Source organism: Homo sapiens, chromosome 9 (assembly GCF_000001405.40).
Source record: "Homo sapiens chromosome 9, GRCh38.p14 Primary Assembly".
NCBI classification, from domain to species: Eukaryota; Metazoa; Chordata; class Mammalia; order Primates; family Hominidae; genus Homo; species Homo sapiens.
The window spans coordinates 81,021,304-81,040,900 of record NC_000009.12 but is presented as its reverse complement, the minus strand read 5'-3'; positions in this window follow the sequence as shown (position 1 = coordinate 81,040,900).

Here is a 19,597-nt window from a genome sequence, read left to right as displayed (position 1 = left end):
TCCCATATTCAAGTTAAAGCACAGTAAAAACACAGCTACTTATAAATGTTTCTGCATGCCTGTCCCATTAATCACTTAATATGAACATAAGAAATCGCTCTATTTAGGAAACAGCCATTTTGTTATCTCAAAGGCTACTTTTTATTAGTTAATTTCAACACTTTCCTTCATACATATTTCCAGGTCCACCGTTGGCTATCTATTCTCCCAATCTATTTTAAGAGCTGAAATACAGTTACTTATTCACATTTACAATGTGCCAGATATTATCTCCTCAATGTAAGTTTGGGCGTAGAAAGACTTGTGTCCTGAGGACAATATGCTTTACTTCTCTGTAGATCTCACTCAAGGTTTTAAAGTGTTCAGGCATAATGTTCACTTCTTAGAAGAGAAAAACGACTTTACCTGGGCACTTGGAAAACACGTATCTATGAGAGAAAAATGCATACTGTAGCTGTTTATTTTATTTATTCAACATTCAAATGAACGTCAACAAATTTTAATGGAACACCTTCTAGGTACCAGGCAGTGTCTAGCCATTTGGGAACTGTGAAGAGTAAACAAAACAGATAAAAATATCTGTCCTCTCCCAGGAGCTTGCATTCTCCTGGGGGAAATAGACAATAAACATATAAGTCATTAAGTAATTTATATGGTATGGAAAAGTCCTATGGAAAACAGAAAGAAGAATTATTAGATCAGGATAAGGGCAATCAGGCATGATGGTGGGCTGTGGCACTTTTCACTTTTACGTGAGATGATCAGGACAGACTCTCTTGGAAAGATGAGCTCTGAGATCTGAAGGAGGCAAGAGAACTAACCAAGCAGATATTTGAAGGTGGGGCAATTCAGGCAGGAGAAACAGCTAGGACAATCTGGAAGAGACAAACACAAAGAAGGCCAATGTGATTGTGGAGTTGCTGAGGGAAGAAAGAGAGGAAATATAGTTAAAAAAAGGCCATTGAGTGATCTGATTTATAGTTTAAAGGAATCTTCTGGCTGCTGTGCTGAGAATAGACCTTCAAGGGGGAAGGGCAGAGGTAGCACATAAGGAAGGCGGCATCAGGTAGGCAAGTGGAAAATGATGGTGACTTAAACTTGGGTGGCAGCAGTGCAGGAGGTGGAAGTGAACAGATTCTGAATATTTTGAACATCTCCAAAGTTCTTGACACTAGGATGGGAAAGAAACCGAGGAGTTGAAGATGATGTCACAGCTTTGGCGTAAACCATGGTGAAGATGGAGTTGATAGCAACAAAACTGTAGAAGACTGCACTGGAGTAGGTTTAGGCGGCGAAGGACTAGGAATTCCATTTCAGACAACCAAGTGGAGAAATAAGGAGATCAGCTGGAGCTGAGTCTAGGCTTCCCAGAAAGAGGTATGGGCTAGAGATTTCAGGTTTTGATTCATCAGTACATGGAAGAGATAAGTGAAATAAACCAGACACAGAAAGAAAAATATTGCATGATCTCACTTATATGTGGAGTCTAGGGGGAGAAAAGGTCAAACCTACAGAGATAGAGAATATAATTACTATAGATGAGAGGCAAGGAGGCAAATGGGAAGATGTAGACCAAAGAATACAAAGTAGCAGATAAATGGGAGGAAAAAGTCTAGAGAGCTAAATACAACATAGTTGTAGTTTATAGTTTATAAAATTATAATGTGTTAGGGATTTTTGTTAAATAAACAGATTTTAGCTGCTCCTGTTAGAAAAAGTAACTATGTGAGATGATTAATATATTAATCTGCTTCACTATAGTAATTATTTTACTATAATTACTATAATGGATTATTTATTATCCGTATGTGTTCCATATTATCATCTTATAAACCTCAAATATATACAATAAAATTTATTTTTTAAAAATAAAACTAAATAGTTTGGATGAGATCACAAATGGGTGTGAGTGTTGACAGAGGAAAGAAGTGGCAAATAAAATGTTGAACCACTGTTATGTTAGAAGGTTGGAGAAAAGAAACTTCTTCTTTCAAAAAGATGTAGAAGGTGAAGTAGATGAAAAATCAAGACAGTGTTTTGTCCTGAGAGGCAAATAAAGTATATCAAGAAAGAAATGATCAACTGTGGTACATACTGCTGATAGGTCAGGAGAGAAGAGGAATGAGCATTAATACTTCAAAAACTTTAGCGGGTTCAAGTAAAATCTTGTAAGCAAATTCCTTTTCTTTGCAAGAAAAATACCAAAAACTTTTGAGGAGTAGCAGCACTGTCATCATGAAAAACACATCTTTGTAATCAGGTAGATCTGGGCTTGGGTCCCAGGGTGGATCCTCATTAGTTTGTGACTTTAGGACAGTCACTTAGCCTTCATGAACCTCAATTTCCTCATCTCTACAAAGCAGATAATAATACCTCCTTCATAAGGTGATTGGGAGGATTAAATATTTAAGTGCTGGCCTTTTCTCTGACGTATGAGGAATGCTGGCAAATGATAGTTAACAATTATTGCAATTATAGTTATAATTATTAGCGCTAATAGTCAAGGCTGCCTCACATGTGGTCCTATCCCCCCTACCCAGATGTTCACTATGGTGCTGTGGGATCTTTTGGGTCCAAAAATCCTGCTCATCATCCCCAGAATATTCTTTGTGTGTGTCATTTTTTTTTCCCCTCTTCCATTGTTAGTTTATGTGTTATCCTCAAGTTAGAATACCTTCCATCCATCTCTGACTATCAGGATCCTACTCATTCTTCAAACCATTGCTCAGTCCCTGTTCTCTTCTGGGAAGTTTCCTTTATCATCCCAGCCAGATGCAGCCTTAATCTCCTCTGAACTAATCTAACACTAATAACTGCACTATCAATCTACCTTCGATACACACTGCATCAAGAAGACTAATCTGTTTACATGCTTTATCTCTCCAAACTACAGAGTGAGTTCTAAGAGGTTAGAGATTTCTGTGCCTTTTCAACGGCACCATTATGGTAATTCACACAGACCCTCAATGTTGGTTGACAGATGATGATGCTGCTTCCCTGGGGCTGGTTTCATAGGAGGACTCCGCTGTTCTTTTGAGAGCCAGAGTTTAGATCCTTTTCTATTATTACTCAAAAAACCTTTGGAAATTTAGAAGTCTTTTAAAGAAGTTGTTCTTATGGTTAAAAAAAAATACTGTGAGATGTTAGGTAAGTAACTGTACTTCTCAGGATTAACAGGGATAATAAAAAGGTGATCTTTAGGACTGAATGAGAAAGTAGATGTAAAAATGCCTAAGATACCCAACACAGAGAAACACTTAAGTATTTGCTGTTATTATTTATTAAAGCACATTTTTATATACAATTTTGTGTTTCTACAATATAAGTATTTCAGACCCAGATTTAAGTAAAATGTAGTAGGGTCCTTGTCTGTGCTAAGTGTTTTTTTTAATGTTGCCATATTTAATTCCTAAAACAATCTTACAAAGTTTGAAAAGTTTTTCTTTTTAAATAATTAAGCAATATGATTTTCAGAATGGCTAAGCAACTTTCATAATGTCACACATATGATGTCTCCAGATTCCAAGTTTCATGTTCTTTCATTTACATTAATAATAATTCTAATATCAATACTTCATATGCACTGAATTTGAATAGGGCATTACACTGACTTAATCATGTATCACATCATTTTATCACCACAGTACACCTATGAGGTTGCTGCCAATGACTCTATGGAGATTAAAGGAAGTCAAGTCATTGACCCAGACTGCACAGGTAGAAGTTGTAGAGCAAGGATTTAAGGCCAAATAGTTCTAATTTTTCTGCCGGTGGTTGTCCTACTCCTTTACAACATCCATCATTTCAGGGGCTTATTCTTACCAAATAAGAGTCAATGTGAATGGGGGAACATACACATTTTGTTTAAATGTGACACTGTAGATTGCTCCTAAGATGTCACAGGCTGGGAACCACTAACCTAAGATCTCCTTTTGATTTTTAATTGAGTTGCTCCTGAAATGCCTTTAGCATCTTTGACTCCATGTTCTTTCTCTTCTTTGCTTCAGTAACTCCCATGCATTCTTCAAGCCTTAGAATAGCTGGAACCTCTTCTGAGAAGCTTTTCTTTCTACTTCCAGTCCCAATGGGTGCTGGATTTCAGGTGTGTGCCCTGGGCAAATCTCTATCACCCATCAACCACAAATTTTTCCTATTTTTCCCTCCACTAAAGTAGGTCTTTAAACTTCTAACTGTCATAGAACCTAGAACATGGAAGGTGCTTAAATAAGTTTGTCCACTGAGCAATTAATAAAAATTACTTCCTATCAACATATCTTACTATTTTTCTGCAGTCAGTGATTCATTCTCAACCAAAAACGTTTCTTTTCTCTACCATTGGATCGTGCTTCTCCTCTGCTCCCTGCTCTCAAGTGGTTTCCCTATCTCATCTGTGTTGGGAGCAAGAACTTTGTTTTGATGAAGGAGCTTTCATCACATCATTTTGAGTTTCCCATGTCATTTCTTCATTCTTAAGCTACCAGCATCTCCGCTCATTCAGGCTTTGGCACATGACATTTTCTCCAAAAATTAGTTTTGTCCTTTTTGTTTGTATCTGAATTCCTGCTTGCCTTTGTCTTTGGGTGGTATGTCTCTCTCTCTCTCTCTCTATATATATATATACACACACATACACACACATACACACATACATATATATGTGTGTGTGTATACATATATATGTATATGTATATGTATGCATGTGTGTATATACACACATATATATGTATATACACATACATATATGTGTGTATATAGAGACCATTTTGGTCTCTATATATTTATATATATTTTTTTTCCTAAAACACTAATTTCTTGATAGCTAAAACCATGTCCTTAACTCTCATTAATGGAATATTACATAAATAGAAAATCAAGCTAATGCTGTGACAGTCCAATTTTTCTCTGACTGAGGATAAAAATTCATATTTTTATCAAGGGTCTAGTAGAGTCCATGGAACATAGACAAACTTTCTTTAATATTTTTTTAAATTGAGCTTTAGAGGTTCAGTGTCTTCTTCAAGGTCCCTCAGCAAGAAAGTTGTCAACTTGATATGGCATGAGAGTAAGTCGTCAAGTCAATGAGGTTTCACTCTGATTTTCCAGTGGTTTGTGGTTTAGCAGCAATATTATGTCCATGGGGGGTTCAAAACTATAAATAAATTGGTCAGCTTGTAGACATAATTTTAATTAAAATTTTTCATCCATTTAGCTCCATAAGTCTTACTAAATTTGAAGTATTAATATTGGGGATAAGAATTAAGAAAGAAAGCATTAAAGGTATAGAATCTACCTTTTTAAAGGCACTATAAAGCACCTTCCTAGAGGTAGTTCCTTCTTCAGAGTGAATAATACAGCTAGAGTGGCATTTAGCTTAAAGCCCTGGCAGCTCACTTTTTTGGCTGTAAGGCATAATTACGGAGTTGGACACGGTGCATTGGCTACATTAGGGAAAAAGCTTGCAAGTCTTTCATTTATGTGGTTTGGAGTCAGAATGAAGTTCTCCAGATTTCTTTTTGATGCTTCTTATCTCTAGACAGATCCTTTTCATTAATTGGTTTATGCTTTCCCTCAGTGGATATCAGTTGAGAAACATAAATGTTAAATGACTCACTTTCATCCCAGAGAACATCTCCCACATTTTAGAATGAAACGTCATAATTGAGAATCAACAACCTTTTTATTTTGTTCCTAACGGACAATTAAAGCCAGACTCTTAGTAACTTGACATTCTTGAAAACCACCACATGACTTGATTGAGCCTATTTCTTGAACTGCAGAATTAACATAAAGACATTAAAATCTAGAGAGTAAACGATCAAGATGAGAAAAATTGAGGCATAAAATAGGGTGAAACCTGAATTATAGAAAAAGTTCTTCATTGCTTGAAAGATACAATTTACAAACTATTATCAGCTGTCAAAGATGATTGTGTTTAACATGGGGTTTGTGTGCAGCTCAGGGGAGATCCATGAAGAATTCTGAAATTATGGTTTAGTCAAATGATGGCAAATAGATTTTTCACTTGTGGATCAACTCAGAATGATTGGAGGAAGCTTCCAGGAGTATTTTATTTAAAAAAGACCTAGAAGTTGCTTCTGCCCTAGTGGGGAAGAGAGTGCTATGGGTAAGCAGCAATGTGTATACAGTAGGTACAGGAAGTGAGAGTGACAATATACATACTACCAGCTTGCAGCTGTGGACTTGAACAAAGCCTCTGGTTGGTTCTGGAAAGGACATAAATCCATTTTATTACTTCCAAAAGTATCTAAATATATCCTGGATGTTTCCTTAGCAATCCTTATAATTATACTCCCCTAATTTATCTTAACTCTCCTGTTTCTCACATTAAATTTGGGGCAGATATCTGCAATATGCCAACTAAATGCAGAACAGATTATAGATACTTTAAGCTCTTGAGTTATCTTTTCTCAGACTTGGTGATAACAGGAGCAAGCTTGTGTGGCCTTCTGTATCTCTCTCCTCAAAGGACCTCTTCGGCAGCAGGTGAAGCATATACCAATGTGTTGTGCTTTTGTAACAATGGTCGCCTGATAATAGCAGAAGGCTGCTGTTTGTACTGTGTGGGCATCTGCAAATAAAATATCAAATACACATACTATAAGGCCATATGTCAGAGTCTGTTTTAGGGGCTCACTGGCTTTGAGCTACTATCAAGAAATAATAATCCTTTTCTTTAGCATAATTTCCCTCGGGTCATGTTTATAGCTTAAATCAACAAGCTCCAAAATGGACTGCTCTACTGTGGCCACCCTGTAAAAGAGTGTTCTATCTACTAATTGTATATAGATGCTTCAGGGGATCTTTCCAGAATCTGCTCCCAAATTTAATGACTGACACAAGGCAAAGCTTTTTTCTTAGGAGGCTGACCCCTGAAAGGTTGTTGTGTTGTAGACTCCAGTTTTGCATGATCAGACTCCTGTGATAAAACATGCAGGCACATGATCAAAGAGCAATGGACATTTGCATTTCTAATTTCCCTTGGTAAATTACAGTGAATCCCCAAATCTGTACTCTCTTTTCTCCTCTCTTTTCCTTCCTGTTTCTTCCTTGCTTTTCTCACCCATCTTTCCCTTTCTCCTTTCTTCCCCACTTCCTTATCTCCTTATTCTCTCCCTTCTTGAGTAAATCAGTTTGTGAAGAATAAAAAGTAGACATCATTTGTTCCCTATAAACTTACATTCCAGTTGAGGAAATGTTGACAGAATAACATAATGAATTTATAAAACATGGGCAATAAATGTGCACTGCCTCAAAATCATGTGCACAAAGCCATGAACTGGTCTTAAGCGTGTACCCTTCATTCAGTTTTCATGAAGGCATCTATGACCCATTCTTGCTTATTGGCTGGTTTTTGCATTTACAGCTAACTGCATGAAAAAATAAATGCTAGGAAATAAATATCCCCTCTCCACACACAATTTTTACAACAGTTTTTTTTCTCTAGTTCTTTTGATTCATCAAGTTAATCTCAAAATTGTCGTAGTGATCATTTCCAAAAAAATAGATCTGTTAATGTTTGACAGGTACAATGGCCACAGTAGATACACTGAAACTTGATTCACAGAAAAAGGAATTGTTTTAAACACATCTCCCTCCCTCCTCCTTCCTGCCACATGTGTCAGCCTTCTGGTAATTTTGAAAATGAACTCAGCTGAGTGTATTAGAAGAAGGGTTTCTTCCTCACCGTCTCTTTCTAGGATTAAAGTGTTTGGTTTTAACAAGAACTTCAGAATTAATCTTTGTGTATTCCTTATCTTTTCTTGCTCCACTGAGCTTTTTAAACATAAATGCCCTGAAGCAGCACACCACTTGTCTTAAAACCCTGGAGTCTCAGAGCATGACACAGGGTTCTCTTTACCACAAATTACTAGAAACAACTCACAGGCCTCTTGTTTCTTTCTTGCACTCTGCAGGGACAAACCATCCCCTCAGCCCCCATCCCTGCCCTCACTGTCCTCACATCTGTTCCATCAACACAATCATGGATATTGTGTTTAGGTTGTAATACCTAATGGTTAACCAGAAAGAAACATGACCTATTTTAATAGCTTGGGGGCAAAACAAACCAACAAAAACTTCCCACAAAAGCAGACCCCGGACGGGGATCTATTGGCTTTTTGTATCAGGAATGTGAAATCCCAGGAAAGGTGCTCGGAGTAAAAGGTTCATTCCCATTCTTTACTCTGCAGTAGGAGGCCATGGTGCTATTTGGTATACAATTTTGCTTTACAAAATTCTAGGAAATGAATGAAATCTTTGAAAGGAGAAGCTTTAGACAAATTAGATATAGCAGAGTTTATCTGAACAAAGAATGATTCATGAATCTTGCAGCACTCAGAACCAGAAGAGATTCAGAGAATTGTGCTCTGCCAGTGGGCCGTGAGTATTTATAGACAGAAGAGGCAAGTCATGTACAGAAATAGTTCCATTGGTTACAGCTGGGCTTTTGCCTTATTTGCACATATCTGATCCGTTGGCAGCCTGTGATTGGCTGAAGCTCAGCTGCTTCTGATTGGCTCAGACCTATCTGTTACACAAAAATGTACTCCTAAGTTAGGTTTCAGTTTGTCTAGGTACTAAGTTCAGTTGTAGTTCCTTAAGTAAAGACTCAAAGTTCAGAGATGGCCTTTGGCCAAATTTAATTTAATACTTTGACACCACCATCCCTGACCCAATATATTTTACAAATCAGACAGTATAAAATAATGGGAGCATTTTGGAGTAGGGCCATTTTTGAAGAGTAATTCTTAAATGATGCAATGTGTTTTAATGACTCATCTACATGATGAGAGGCTCCCAGCAAGTCTCAGGCCTCCTGGGTCTCTCTCTCTGTGCTCCACAAGACCTCTAAGGAGAGAAAAGGCATGAATAAAAAATCCTGGAGAGACCTTCTGTATGCTCCCTTCCTCTCCTAATACTCCTCATCCCCAGCACCCCTTTGGGGTTCTCATAGACCTGCTGACCTTGTTGTTATTGCCCTGTGTGCACCAGCATCTCCAGTAATCAGAAAAGGGAGTTTCTTTCAGCATCTTTTAAAGCTGGGCATATGGCATTTGGTAATATGAACAGGAGGAAAGCGGGAGAAGAGAGAATGAAAGAGAGGAATTTAGACTTTACATTGACAGTTCTGTGACATCTGGATGGGGTCACTAACTTGTGTGTCCAACCCTACCCCCGAATCTGAAAGTGGTCAAGGGCCTGGGAAGTGGGTGTACCGTGAGCCTTGGGTTAGTAAATTAGTGACTAAACTCTGAGTCAGGTGAGATGCTAATTGTGCTGTGATCCTGAACACCTGGGATCCTGGTGCCAGACCAGCTGACTTGCTTTGTTCCGAGTCAGTCCTTCAGTAACCAGTACCTTATCTCGTCCCCTGATTACTCTGTAATGGCATCCCTGACTTGAACCCTAGTGACTCAAAGTCGTATAGGAAGTGCCTCCATGATCTCGTAGTTTTCAGAATTGGATTTAATTCTGAACCTCAGTTTTCTCAATCTTGAATCTTTAATAACTCCTCCCAGAGTTCCCTAACAGGAGTCATTCAACTGCGAGACTTTAGCCAGTTTTGCACTGTTTCCTCTTTCTTTGATCCCTTGATTTTTTTTTTCTTTATCTACTTGAAAAGAATTCCAAGCTCATCGACACTTGCAAATAATGCAAATAATGCTTAAGGCCTGATGCTCCTTTTCTAATATCAGTATGGGATTAACATTAGGAGATGTTCCTGAATGTCCCTCTGCCAGAAAGAGATCTTTGCTCTGGCTTCTGTGTTTATAGCGTCTGACATTTAAAGCCTGCGTATACTCCTAATCTCAATTTTTCCAATTCCCCAGCAGGCAAAATTGTAAAAATGCCACCCAACATTCCGCATGCTAATTCCCAAAACCTGTGATTATAATGAGGTATTAATATCACTTCCATGATTATGTTATGTTATATGGCACAGATGACCTTGAGTTAGGGAGATTATCCACCGGGTAGGTCTTCCGATCTCATAAACCCCTTTAAAAGCAGAGAATTTTTTCTCCAGCTGATCAGAGAGGTCAGAGGGATTTGATGCTGTCTTGCTAATTTAAAAGATAGGAGGGGCCACACACCAACAAATGCAGACAAGTATCTTACCCACCTCGCAGCCAATAGCCAGCTAGAAAAGGCAGACCCAGTCTGACCTCCTCAAGGAACTAAATTCTGCCAACTACTTAAATAAATGTAAAAGCAAATATTTTTTCCGGAGCCTCCAGATAAGGACCCATCCAATGACACATTGATTATGGCCTTATGAGACTCTGAGTATAGAACCCAGTTGAACTCGCTGGGATTTCTGACTTACAAAAGTGTCAGCTAATAAATGGGTGTTGCTTTAAGCTGCTAAATTTGTGGTAATTTGTTAAGGCAGTAAAATGAATATTCTCCATCTTCCTTCCTACCACTGAAGCCTTAGTGGAAATAAATTGAAGTTGAAATAAAAGCATTTTAAGTCTGAGTAAAATGTTTTATGTACTTGACACATTTTTCTTCCTTTAGTTGCTTGAGTTTGATTGAAGAAAGTTTTGGAACTAACATATGCAAACTGTGAGAGTCTATCCTGTTGTTAATGAATGTCCATCATTGTTTTAGCAAACATTCAAAGGCAAATTCAATAACTGTTAAGAGAGATTAATAGAAGCTTTTATATGCTTAGTAAAAATGGAACCCTAGTCTCATAAACACAATGTACTTCTCTGTGTATCTAATAGGAATTGGCAGAAATGAGAGAGAATTAGGCTTACTGACAGCCTTAGTGAGACTGAAGTATTAAAAAGAAAACATCACAGCCATTTACTTATCAACATTAAAGACTATTAATACATTTGCAGGAATTTAGTTTTATAATAATACTCTTTGCTACATCATTTAATATTTGATTCACTTGAATTTATCTTTAGGGAAATAATATTTAGCATAAATTCTAACTTTACTATATGATAAAATGTGAATGTTTTATGGAAGCATACCCAGTAAAACAGGCTTTATTGGAGGGGCTCATTTAAGTTCAGCAATAGCGGGAAGGGATGGATAATGATCACATAAAGTCTTGGTAAAAGCACATCAATTTAGATTCTGTTTTAATCTGGGAATGGACTTTGGTGTTTAATTTGTAAATGTGAATAATTAGCATTGTTTATGGGTTTTTATAATTTAAAAAAAAGCTTTGATACAAGGCCCTGAAAAGTGAAACTTGCCTGACTAATAGATGTTTAAAGAATATATTCTGACTAATTGAATATTCTGGTTAACTGTGTCTTTTTATTTTGCCCATGATCATTGAAAATCTTGTTCAAGTATTCTGTTCCATTTTGCTGCCTTAGCAAGTGTACTATGCTGAAAATGAGCATATTCTGACTGTCTCACAGGATCAAGGTTATTATTAACTTAATGATTAATGTCAGTAACTTAAAACCACTTACATATTAAAATATTTGTTTTTAGAGTATATTTATATGTATTTATCTGGACTTTTTATGTATCGAGAGATGTTTTCTCGTAAAGTGAAGTTAAGAATAATAAAGAGTTGTGTAAAGGTTTTTGATTTTGGTTCAAGTAACTAAGGTGTATATATGGGTGAATGCATATATAATTATTGTGTATGCAATCCATAAAATTGTAGAAAAACAGAAACGCAAAGAGAAAAATATAAAAATCACACGTAATCTTGTTTCCAGTTAATCTCTTGTGATATATTCTTTGAGTTTTTTCTATTTATGCAATAGCATTAATAATTAAAATTAATTATATTAATAGAATATATTACCTATGTTAAATATTAAATAAGTAATTCATTATATTTAATTATAATTACAATAAAATATAATTCAATATAATATAATATTAAATAAGTATAGGACACTTATGCCAATATACAAATTTAAAGAAATATTGAAATTTGGGCCACATATAGAAGAGATGAAATCAGTATTTAAGAAAGAAAAAGGTGATGGAAAGGGTAGAATATTAGAAATTCAAATGTAAATATAGGCTAACCTCTTTCTGGTAGAAGAGAGAAGTGACACAGAGTAATGGGTAATTTAAAAGGTGTTTATATTAGTCTTGGAATGTCGTCAGAGAGGCAAAAATACACACATACTCAGACACATGTATATCCCCTTGGACCTAGGTGGGTGGTACTAAGGAAACACTAGGTTAGTGAGAGTAAACCACAAAGAATTCCACCATTGATGAGTAATTGAGGGTGACTCTCTTCTCGACAATGCGCAATCTGTTCCAGTCCCTGACATTCAAAGAACCAGTGTTTCTGCACAGAGAGGAGAATTTTCGGGTGTACTGAAGGATGTCTTTTCTGCCCCTGTAAGTTCAGTCACACATTTTAGAACTGGAAGGAACTTTAGAGACATTTTAATACTAATTCATTTAATGAAGGAGGATATTAAAATCCAGGGAGGTAAAGTGACATGCTGAGAGTCATTAAGCCTTTCCAATAATGGTCAAGAACTCTTGTTCCTTAATTTCCAGCCAAATCTCTTCTCGATTTTTCAATGAAGTCAATTAATACACATTTACTGACTTTCTATGTTCAGGGAGATATTTAAATATAGTGATAATAAAGAAATTCATTGCAGTATCTTTGTCTTTCAGGAATTTACATGCATGAATCAAGGCCATATATTATTATTAGAAAGCATATATTAGAAAGCAAGGCCAAAAGTTAATAATCATGTGAATTAGAGTAAGCAATAACAGATATAATAAGGAGAAAGACTGTATTGGGTTGGAGCCATTAGAAAATACTTTTTAAAGGAAGTAGTATAGATTTTGGAAATAATTTTCAGAGTTTGTAAGAGAACTGCCTTTGGAAATATTTATCACAATAATTTTTAATTTTCAAAATACTACATTTGTTGCTGTTTAAAGCTTGATGCTACTTTTGAATTTTATTTCACTTTTGTTAGAGAATGTAGTCTGTATAATTTATGCTGTAAAGTTTTTGTTTAGTTTTTTTTGCTGTGATTGGTTTAAATTTGTGCAAATATTTGATGGATGCTTCAAAAAATCTACCTTGTGATATTTATTCAAATGTTGTCGCTCTTAGTCTTTTTTATTGTTTATTATACTTTTCTTGTTGTACTTTTCTATAGAAACTATGGTTCTGTTAACATTTTCCTGTATTTCGATTAATTTTCCCTCATCTATTTTAATATTATGTTAGTAACTTTTATATCTTTATGATGGTTTGCACCATTTTATTAATATAAAATGGCCTTGTTTATTTTACTTATTTACCTTTTCCCTCATATTCCCCTTTATCTGAAATTAATATGCTTATCCCCACTCATTTCTTTAATTTACCTGCTGATCTTTGCTAAATATTTTTCTGTCTATTTACCTTTTCAAAATAGCTCATAGTTATTTTACATTTTTTGGTAACAGCTTTATTGAGATATAAATTATATATCGTACAATTCAACCATTTGAAGTATAGAATTTAATAGCTTTTAGTATTGGCAATGAGTTGTAAAATCGGCCGGGTGCGGTGGCTCACGCTTGTAATCCTAGCACTTTGGGAGGCCGAGGAGGGTGGATCACGAGGTCAGGAGATCAAGACCATCCTGGCTAACATGGTGAAAACTCGTCTCTACTAAAAATATAAAAAATTAGCTGGGCGTGGTGGCCGGTGCCTATAGTCCCAGCTACTTGGGAGGCTGAGGCAGGAGAATGGTGTGAACCCGGGAGGCGGAGCTTGCAGTGAGCCGAGATCGCGCCACTGCACTCCAGCCTGGGCGACAGAGCAAGACTCTGACTCAAAAAAAAAAAAAAAAAAAAAAAAAAAAAAAAAAAAGAGTTGTGAAATCATCACCATAATTTTAGAACAATTTTATCACCTCACCCCAGAGCAAAATTCTGTACCCTTTCATCGTTATCTCCTAATCACCCTATCCCTATCCCTATGCAAAACTAGCCTACTTTCTTTCTATATAGATTTTCCTGTTATCGGATATTTCGTATAAATGGAATTTTACAATGTGTGGCCTTTTGTGTTTCGTTTCTTCCATTTAACATAATATTTTCAAGGCTTATTCGTGTTGTAACATGTATCAGTCACCCATCCCTTTTTATTATAAACATATACTACCTCTTGCTTATCTATTCATCAGTTGATAGACATTTGGGTCTTTTTACTTTCTGGCTGTGATGAATAATGACGTTGTGATCATTTGTGCACAAGTTTTTGTGTGGATTTGTGCTTCCATTTTTCCTGGGTATATACCTGGGAGTGGGATCCGAGTCAAATGCTAACTCCATGTTCAGCTTTTGTGCGGAATTGCCAGACTGTTTTCCAAAGTGGTTGCACGTTTTACTTTCCCACTAGCAATGTATGAGAGTTCCAGTTTCTATACACCCTTGCCGACACTGTATTATCTGACATTATTATTATTATTATTATTATTATTATTATTATTATTATTATTTTTCTTACCCTAGTAAATGTGACATAGTATCTCACTGTGGTGTTTATTTGCATTTACCTGATGATTAAGAATGTTTCACATCTTTTCATATGCTTATTAGCTATTTGTATATCTTCATTACAGAAATACCTATGAGACTTGGTTTTAATACAGTATGAGGATCACTGATTTTTAAGACAGAATTCCAGCCTATTAACATTCAACAACTAAACCAATATCTATTTTCTATCATTTTATGTTTCCTTGTTTTTGATATTTTTCTATACAAACTTGATTTATTTTTACATTTTCAAATGATTTGGCAGTTACTAACATTGCTTTTAATTATTCTCATGGTTTTATTTAAAAAATTTTAAAAGTTTTCCTTATATGTCCCTAGTTATTAAAATAAGAAGAAAATTAAAAAGTATCTCCTGAGCTCCACTCAGATAAAATGAAGCATTTTTGAAACTTTTAGTTTCACTTTTCATTCTAGTCCCAGATTTTGTATATAGAAGTTTGGATATGAGGAGTAGATTACTGCTATTAGATGATCATATAATCATGTTACAAATATCCTGCTTGTAGAATTATTTGCATTCAATTCACATTTAGTAAGATTCAATTCTATTTCACATTTAACTGGATTCAATAAAAGTTTGACATTTTTAATTGTTTATTATTACGTATCATTTTTGGGTCATCACTTGGTTAACTGTAGGTTGTATAAAATATAATTTTTTTGCAAGAAAGGTAAAAGTTGGCATATCTAAACACTGACATATCTGGAAAAATTGCTTTCGCATGTAAATAACAAATTAGATAGCAATAAAAGTTTAAATTTATAACCTTTTCCTTTTAGGATACATGATTATTAACATATTGTTAGGTAATATTTGAGACTGTAAAATAAGTTCGATGATAAACCCTTACAAATTTTAAAATTTTTATGTATTTTTTCTCTCAGTATGTTTGAGATTTTTTTTATTATTCTTGTATTTTGTATTTTTCCAAAGTATGTTACATACAGATTTTCTTTTATTTTAAGCCTTCTTTTGGTGAAACTTCTTGTTTTCCTTTATTCTTCACTTTATAAAAGTATTTTAATTATACTATTGCTTTGTTTTTTTTACAAAATTGCTTTTTCTTAAGTATTAAGTTTTAAATTGACTCTTTCTTCTCTCTTAATTCAGCCCACTTCAATTTTATTGAATTATATTCAACCACTATCTACTGAGCATCATTACATACTGAGCTTTGCTGAGCATCGATGACAGATACAGCCCTTGCCTTGTAGAGTTGAAAGTCTAGCTGACAAAAGCAAATATTAAAAGATAAATTATATTTGGGATGTGTGCAATGGAAGGGGAAGGAAATAGGCATGAGGTGAGTAATCTTATTTTATCAGTGAGGCCAGGGACAGCTTTCCAGAGAAAGTAAAAAGTATTTTACTTTTACTGAAATTTAAGGATGAATAAAGATTAAATGACGGTCACGGTGATACTGGCAGTAACGAATGGATGGTAGCTCGGGAGTGGTAGGGAACAAAAAAGATTGCTCAGGCCACTTGGAAAGAGCAAAACAAAACAAAATCCAGATGTGCCATAGAGTGAGGGTCACCAAACTATAAGACATCATCTGATCTTGTAAAATAGAGTTTTATTGAATGACAGTCTTGCCCGTTATTTACATAATGTCTATAGCTGCTTTCATGCTACAATGGCAGAGTTGAGTAGTTGCAGAAACACTTTATTAGGTGCAAAACATAGACTATTTATTATCTGGCACTATCCACAAAAGTTTGTCAACCTCTGTCTGTCTATATGTCTGTCTGTCTATCTATCTATCATCTATCTATCTATCTATCTATCTATCTATCTATCTATCTATCTATCTATCTATCATCACAGTTGGACCACACCACAGGATTCAGAGCACCCTTGGCATATATTTTGTGGGAGGGCAAATTCATGTTCTTAGTATCTTTGAGTGATGTGGGGAAAACATAGGTAAAATATTTAATTTCTTCCCAGTATTCTCCACTGATTTGTAGTTTATGAAAATCCTCAGATCCTGGCAATTATTAGCCTCATTGTCATCAGCTTTTGTTTTCTTCTGGATATTGGTCTGCATTAGTCAGGTTTCTCCAGAGGGACAGAACCAATATGATATATGTATTTATAAAAGAGATTTTATTAAGGAGAATTGGCTCATGTGATTACAAGACAAAGTCCCACCATAGGCCATCTGTAAACTGGGGAAAGAGAGAAGCTGGTAGTAGCTCAGTCCAAGTGCAAAAGCCTCAAAATCAGGGAAGCTAACGGTGCAGCCTTCAGTCTGTCACCAAAGGCCAGAGAGCCCCCAGGAAGCTGCTGGTGCAAATACCCGAGTCCAAAGGGTGAAGAACCTGGAGTCTGATGTCCAAAGACAGGAGGAGCAGAAGCAAGCGTCTGGCAGAGGAAGAAGAAATAGAGCCAGAAGACTCAGCAAGCAAACTTATCCCACCTTCTTCCACCTGCTCTGTTCTAGCCACGCTGGCAGTCCATTGGATGGTGGCCACCCACATTGAGAGTGGGTCTTCCTCTCCCAGTCCATCAGCTCAAATGTCAATCTCCTCTAGCAACACCCTCACACCTAAAAACAATGTTTCACAAGCCATCTGGGCATCCCTCAACTCAAGTCAAGCTGATGCCTAATATTAATATTAGGCATCAGGGTATTTCAGAGATAAATTATGAGAGACCACAACAGGAAAATCTATGCAGATATAATTATAAAAATGAATTATGTGTGCCACTTGAGATGTTAATAGTATAGTATTCTATATTTATTGGGTTAGGAATTGGTGACCTGCCCTAATCTTTACCCTCTAGGTTGTTCTAATCTAGTTATTGATGTCATTATTCTTTCAATTATCTGGTCTTAAAGTATTCAGTAAATCTTGATGCTCTCCTCTATTATTATCTATCTTGTCCCTTCCTTTCTGATTAACAAAATAATCCAAGCCTGTATACACTGGCATTGGTGTGCTTCTTGGTCTCTTTTTCTCCAGTTGCCCTTCTGCAAATACCCATTTGTGCACTTGGCCAGGTTAAGATGTACAACACTGATTATCACTAGTGCCCCTGTCCTTACTCCATTTTCTGAAAACTCCTGTGATGCTCCATTGCATGTATCAGGGTTTGACAAATTATGGGTCACATCTGACACCTTGCCTGCTTTTGTATGGCCCGTCAGCCAAGAATGCTTTTTACATTTTTAATGATTTCAAAAAAATCAAAAGAATAACGCCATCTTCGGATATGTGAAAATTACATGCAATTTAAATTTTAACATTCATATATGGTGTTATTGGGACACAGACACACTGATTTCTGGATATAATATCTATGTCTTCTTTCACCTACCATGGCAGAGCTGAATAGTTGTAATGGAGATGGCATGGCCTGAAAAACCTAATATATTTACTATCTGGCCCCTTAGAGAAAAAAAAAAAATTGCTGACCTCTGGCATATAGGAATACCAACTTCTTATCATTTATTTTATGTAATCTGACCTCTACTTAGTTTCCGACCCCAATTCTTCCTACACCAATCCTCAACCAAGTTGACTCTTTTACTCCTTTGTAAATGTGAGCATTTCTGCTTTTACTTTCCTATAGTGTGGACCCTGCCCGTAACTTCTGGCTCTTTGTTTCTGCTTAAGGACTGCTTTTTCGTCATGATTGATTAAAATTTAGCCTCACTTATAGTCTTTCTTTATTTGTCCCACCTTCAGTGTGTAACATGTAATAGTTGCTTCTTTAGCTATGTTAATCGGTCCCTAAATTTCAACGATATATTTCTAAATTATGCCGTAGTTTGCTTGGGTGTTTCCTAGGCAGCCTTCTGCGTGGCAATTCAGGGATCAAGTAGCTTTCCAGCTTGTGATGTTGCTAGCTTCTACGTCTTCACTGGACTTTGCTGAAACTCTTGCATTCAGCATGAAATAGCCATAGTAAGAAAAATGGGAAAGTCTGTTTCATGGCTGGCCTGGAAGTGGTATACATAATTTTCCACTTACGTTGCTTTTGGCAGCATCAAATTACACAGTAGCAAGCTAACTGCAAAGGAAACTGGAAGATGTGGTGTGTCCTAGCATCCAGGAAAAAAAAAAAGGAATTGGTGAACATCTAGCTGGGTTCTACCACATTACCAAATAGATGTTAACTGTTTTTGGACTGTTTGAGGCAAGAAATTGTGCTCCTATTTATATCTGCAGCCATGTGGCATGTTGCATTGTAGGAGCGAAGTAAATATATCTTGATGATGCTTATGCCAACTTCACATTCATTTTAAGTCTGTAAAGTCACCTTCTTTTTAAGTTATTGGCTCATTTGTGATGCCAGGCTAATTTCAGCCACTGTTACGTACACTGAAGCACTATCTTATTTTAGTGACTTGAAAGGGATCATCATACTAGCTAATACCTACCAACAGAAAATTCCTTAGGAGTGTTTTTACCCCAGAACCTCAATCTTTATTTTAGGGTCATGTCATTATCAGAGTGGCTAGATTTGTACTGGTTTAGCCAAGTGTCTCCTAGATCCCAATATGAGATTAAAATTGTATTAGAAAGTCTTTGTTATACAATGAAGCTGATGATAAGAGCAAATTCTAAATATGCTTTGGATGTAAACTTACCATTGCAATGACAAAATTGGCTAAGTCTCAACAATAGTAAGAAATATCCCTCTTACTCAAATGAACCCTGTGTGGCATTTTCTGTGCACAAAGAAGCAGTTGCTTTTTTCATTGCACTCAAGATTGACTCATCATTATTGTTCAGTTCCTAATGAACCCTGATAAAATATTCAGTGATGCCTCAAATTTTTATATTTTTTCTTAAAGGAGTTTTGAAATGATGCTCTTGAGTGTATAACTAAAGGTATCCTATAATAAAAGTACATAAAAATTGGTCAAGAAAATGAAAGTGTCAATAAAAATGGTCTCTATGATGACTTCTAAAGGATGCTTGCTGCTGACCTGGCTTTTGTTTCTTCTTTAAATATTAATTGCTTATTTGTTGGTTTGAAAGCTCAGCTTTGAGTACTGATGGGTCTGTAGCTGCAAATTTCTGCCTTTTTATTCATTTG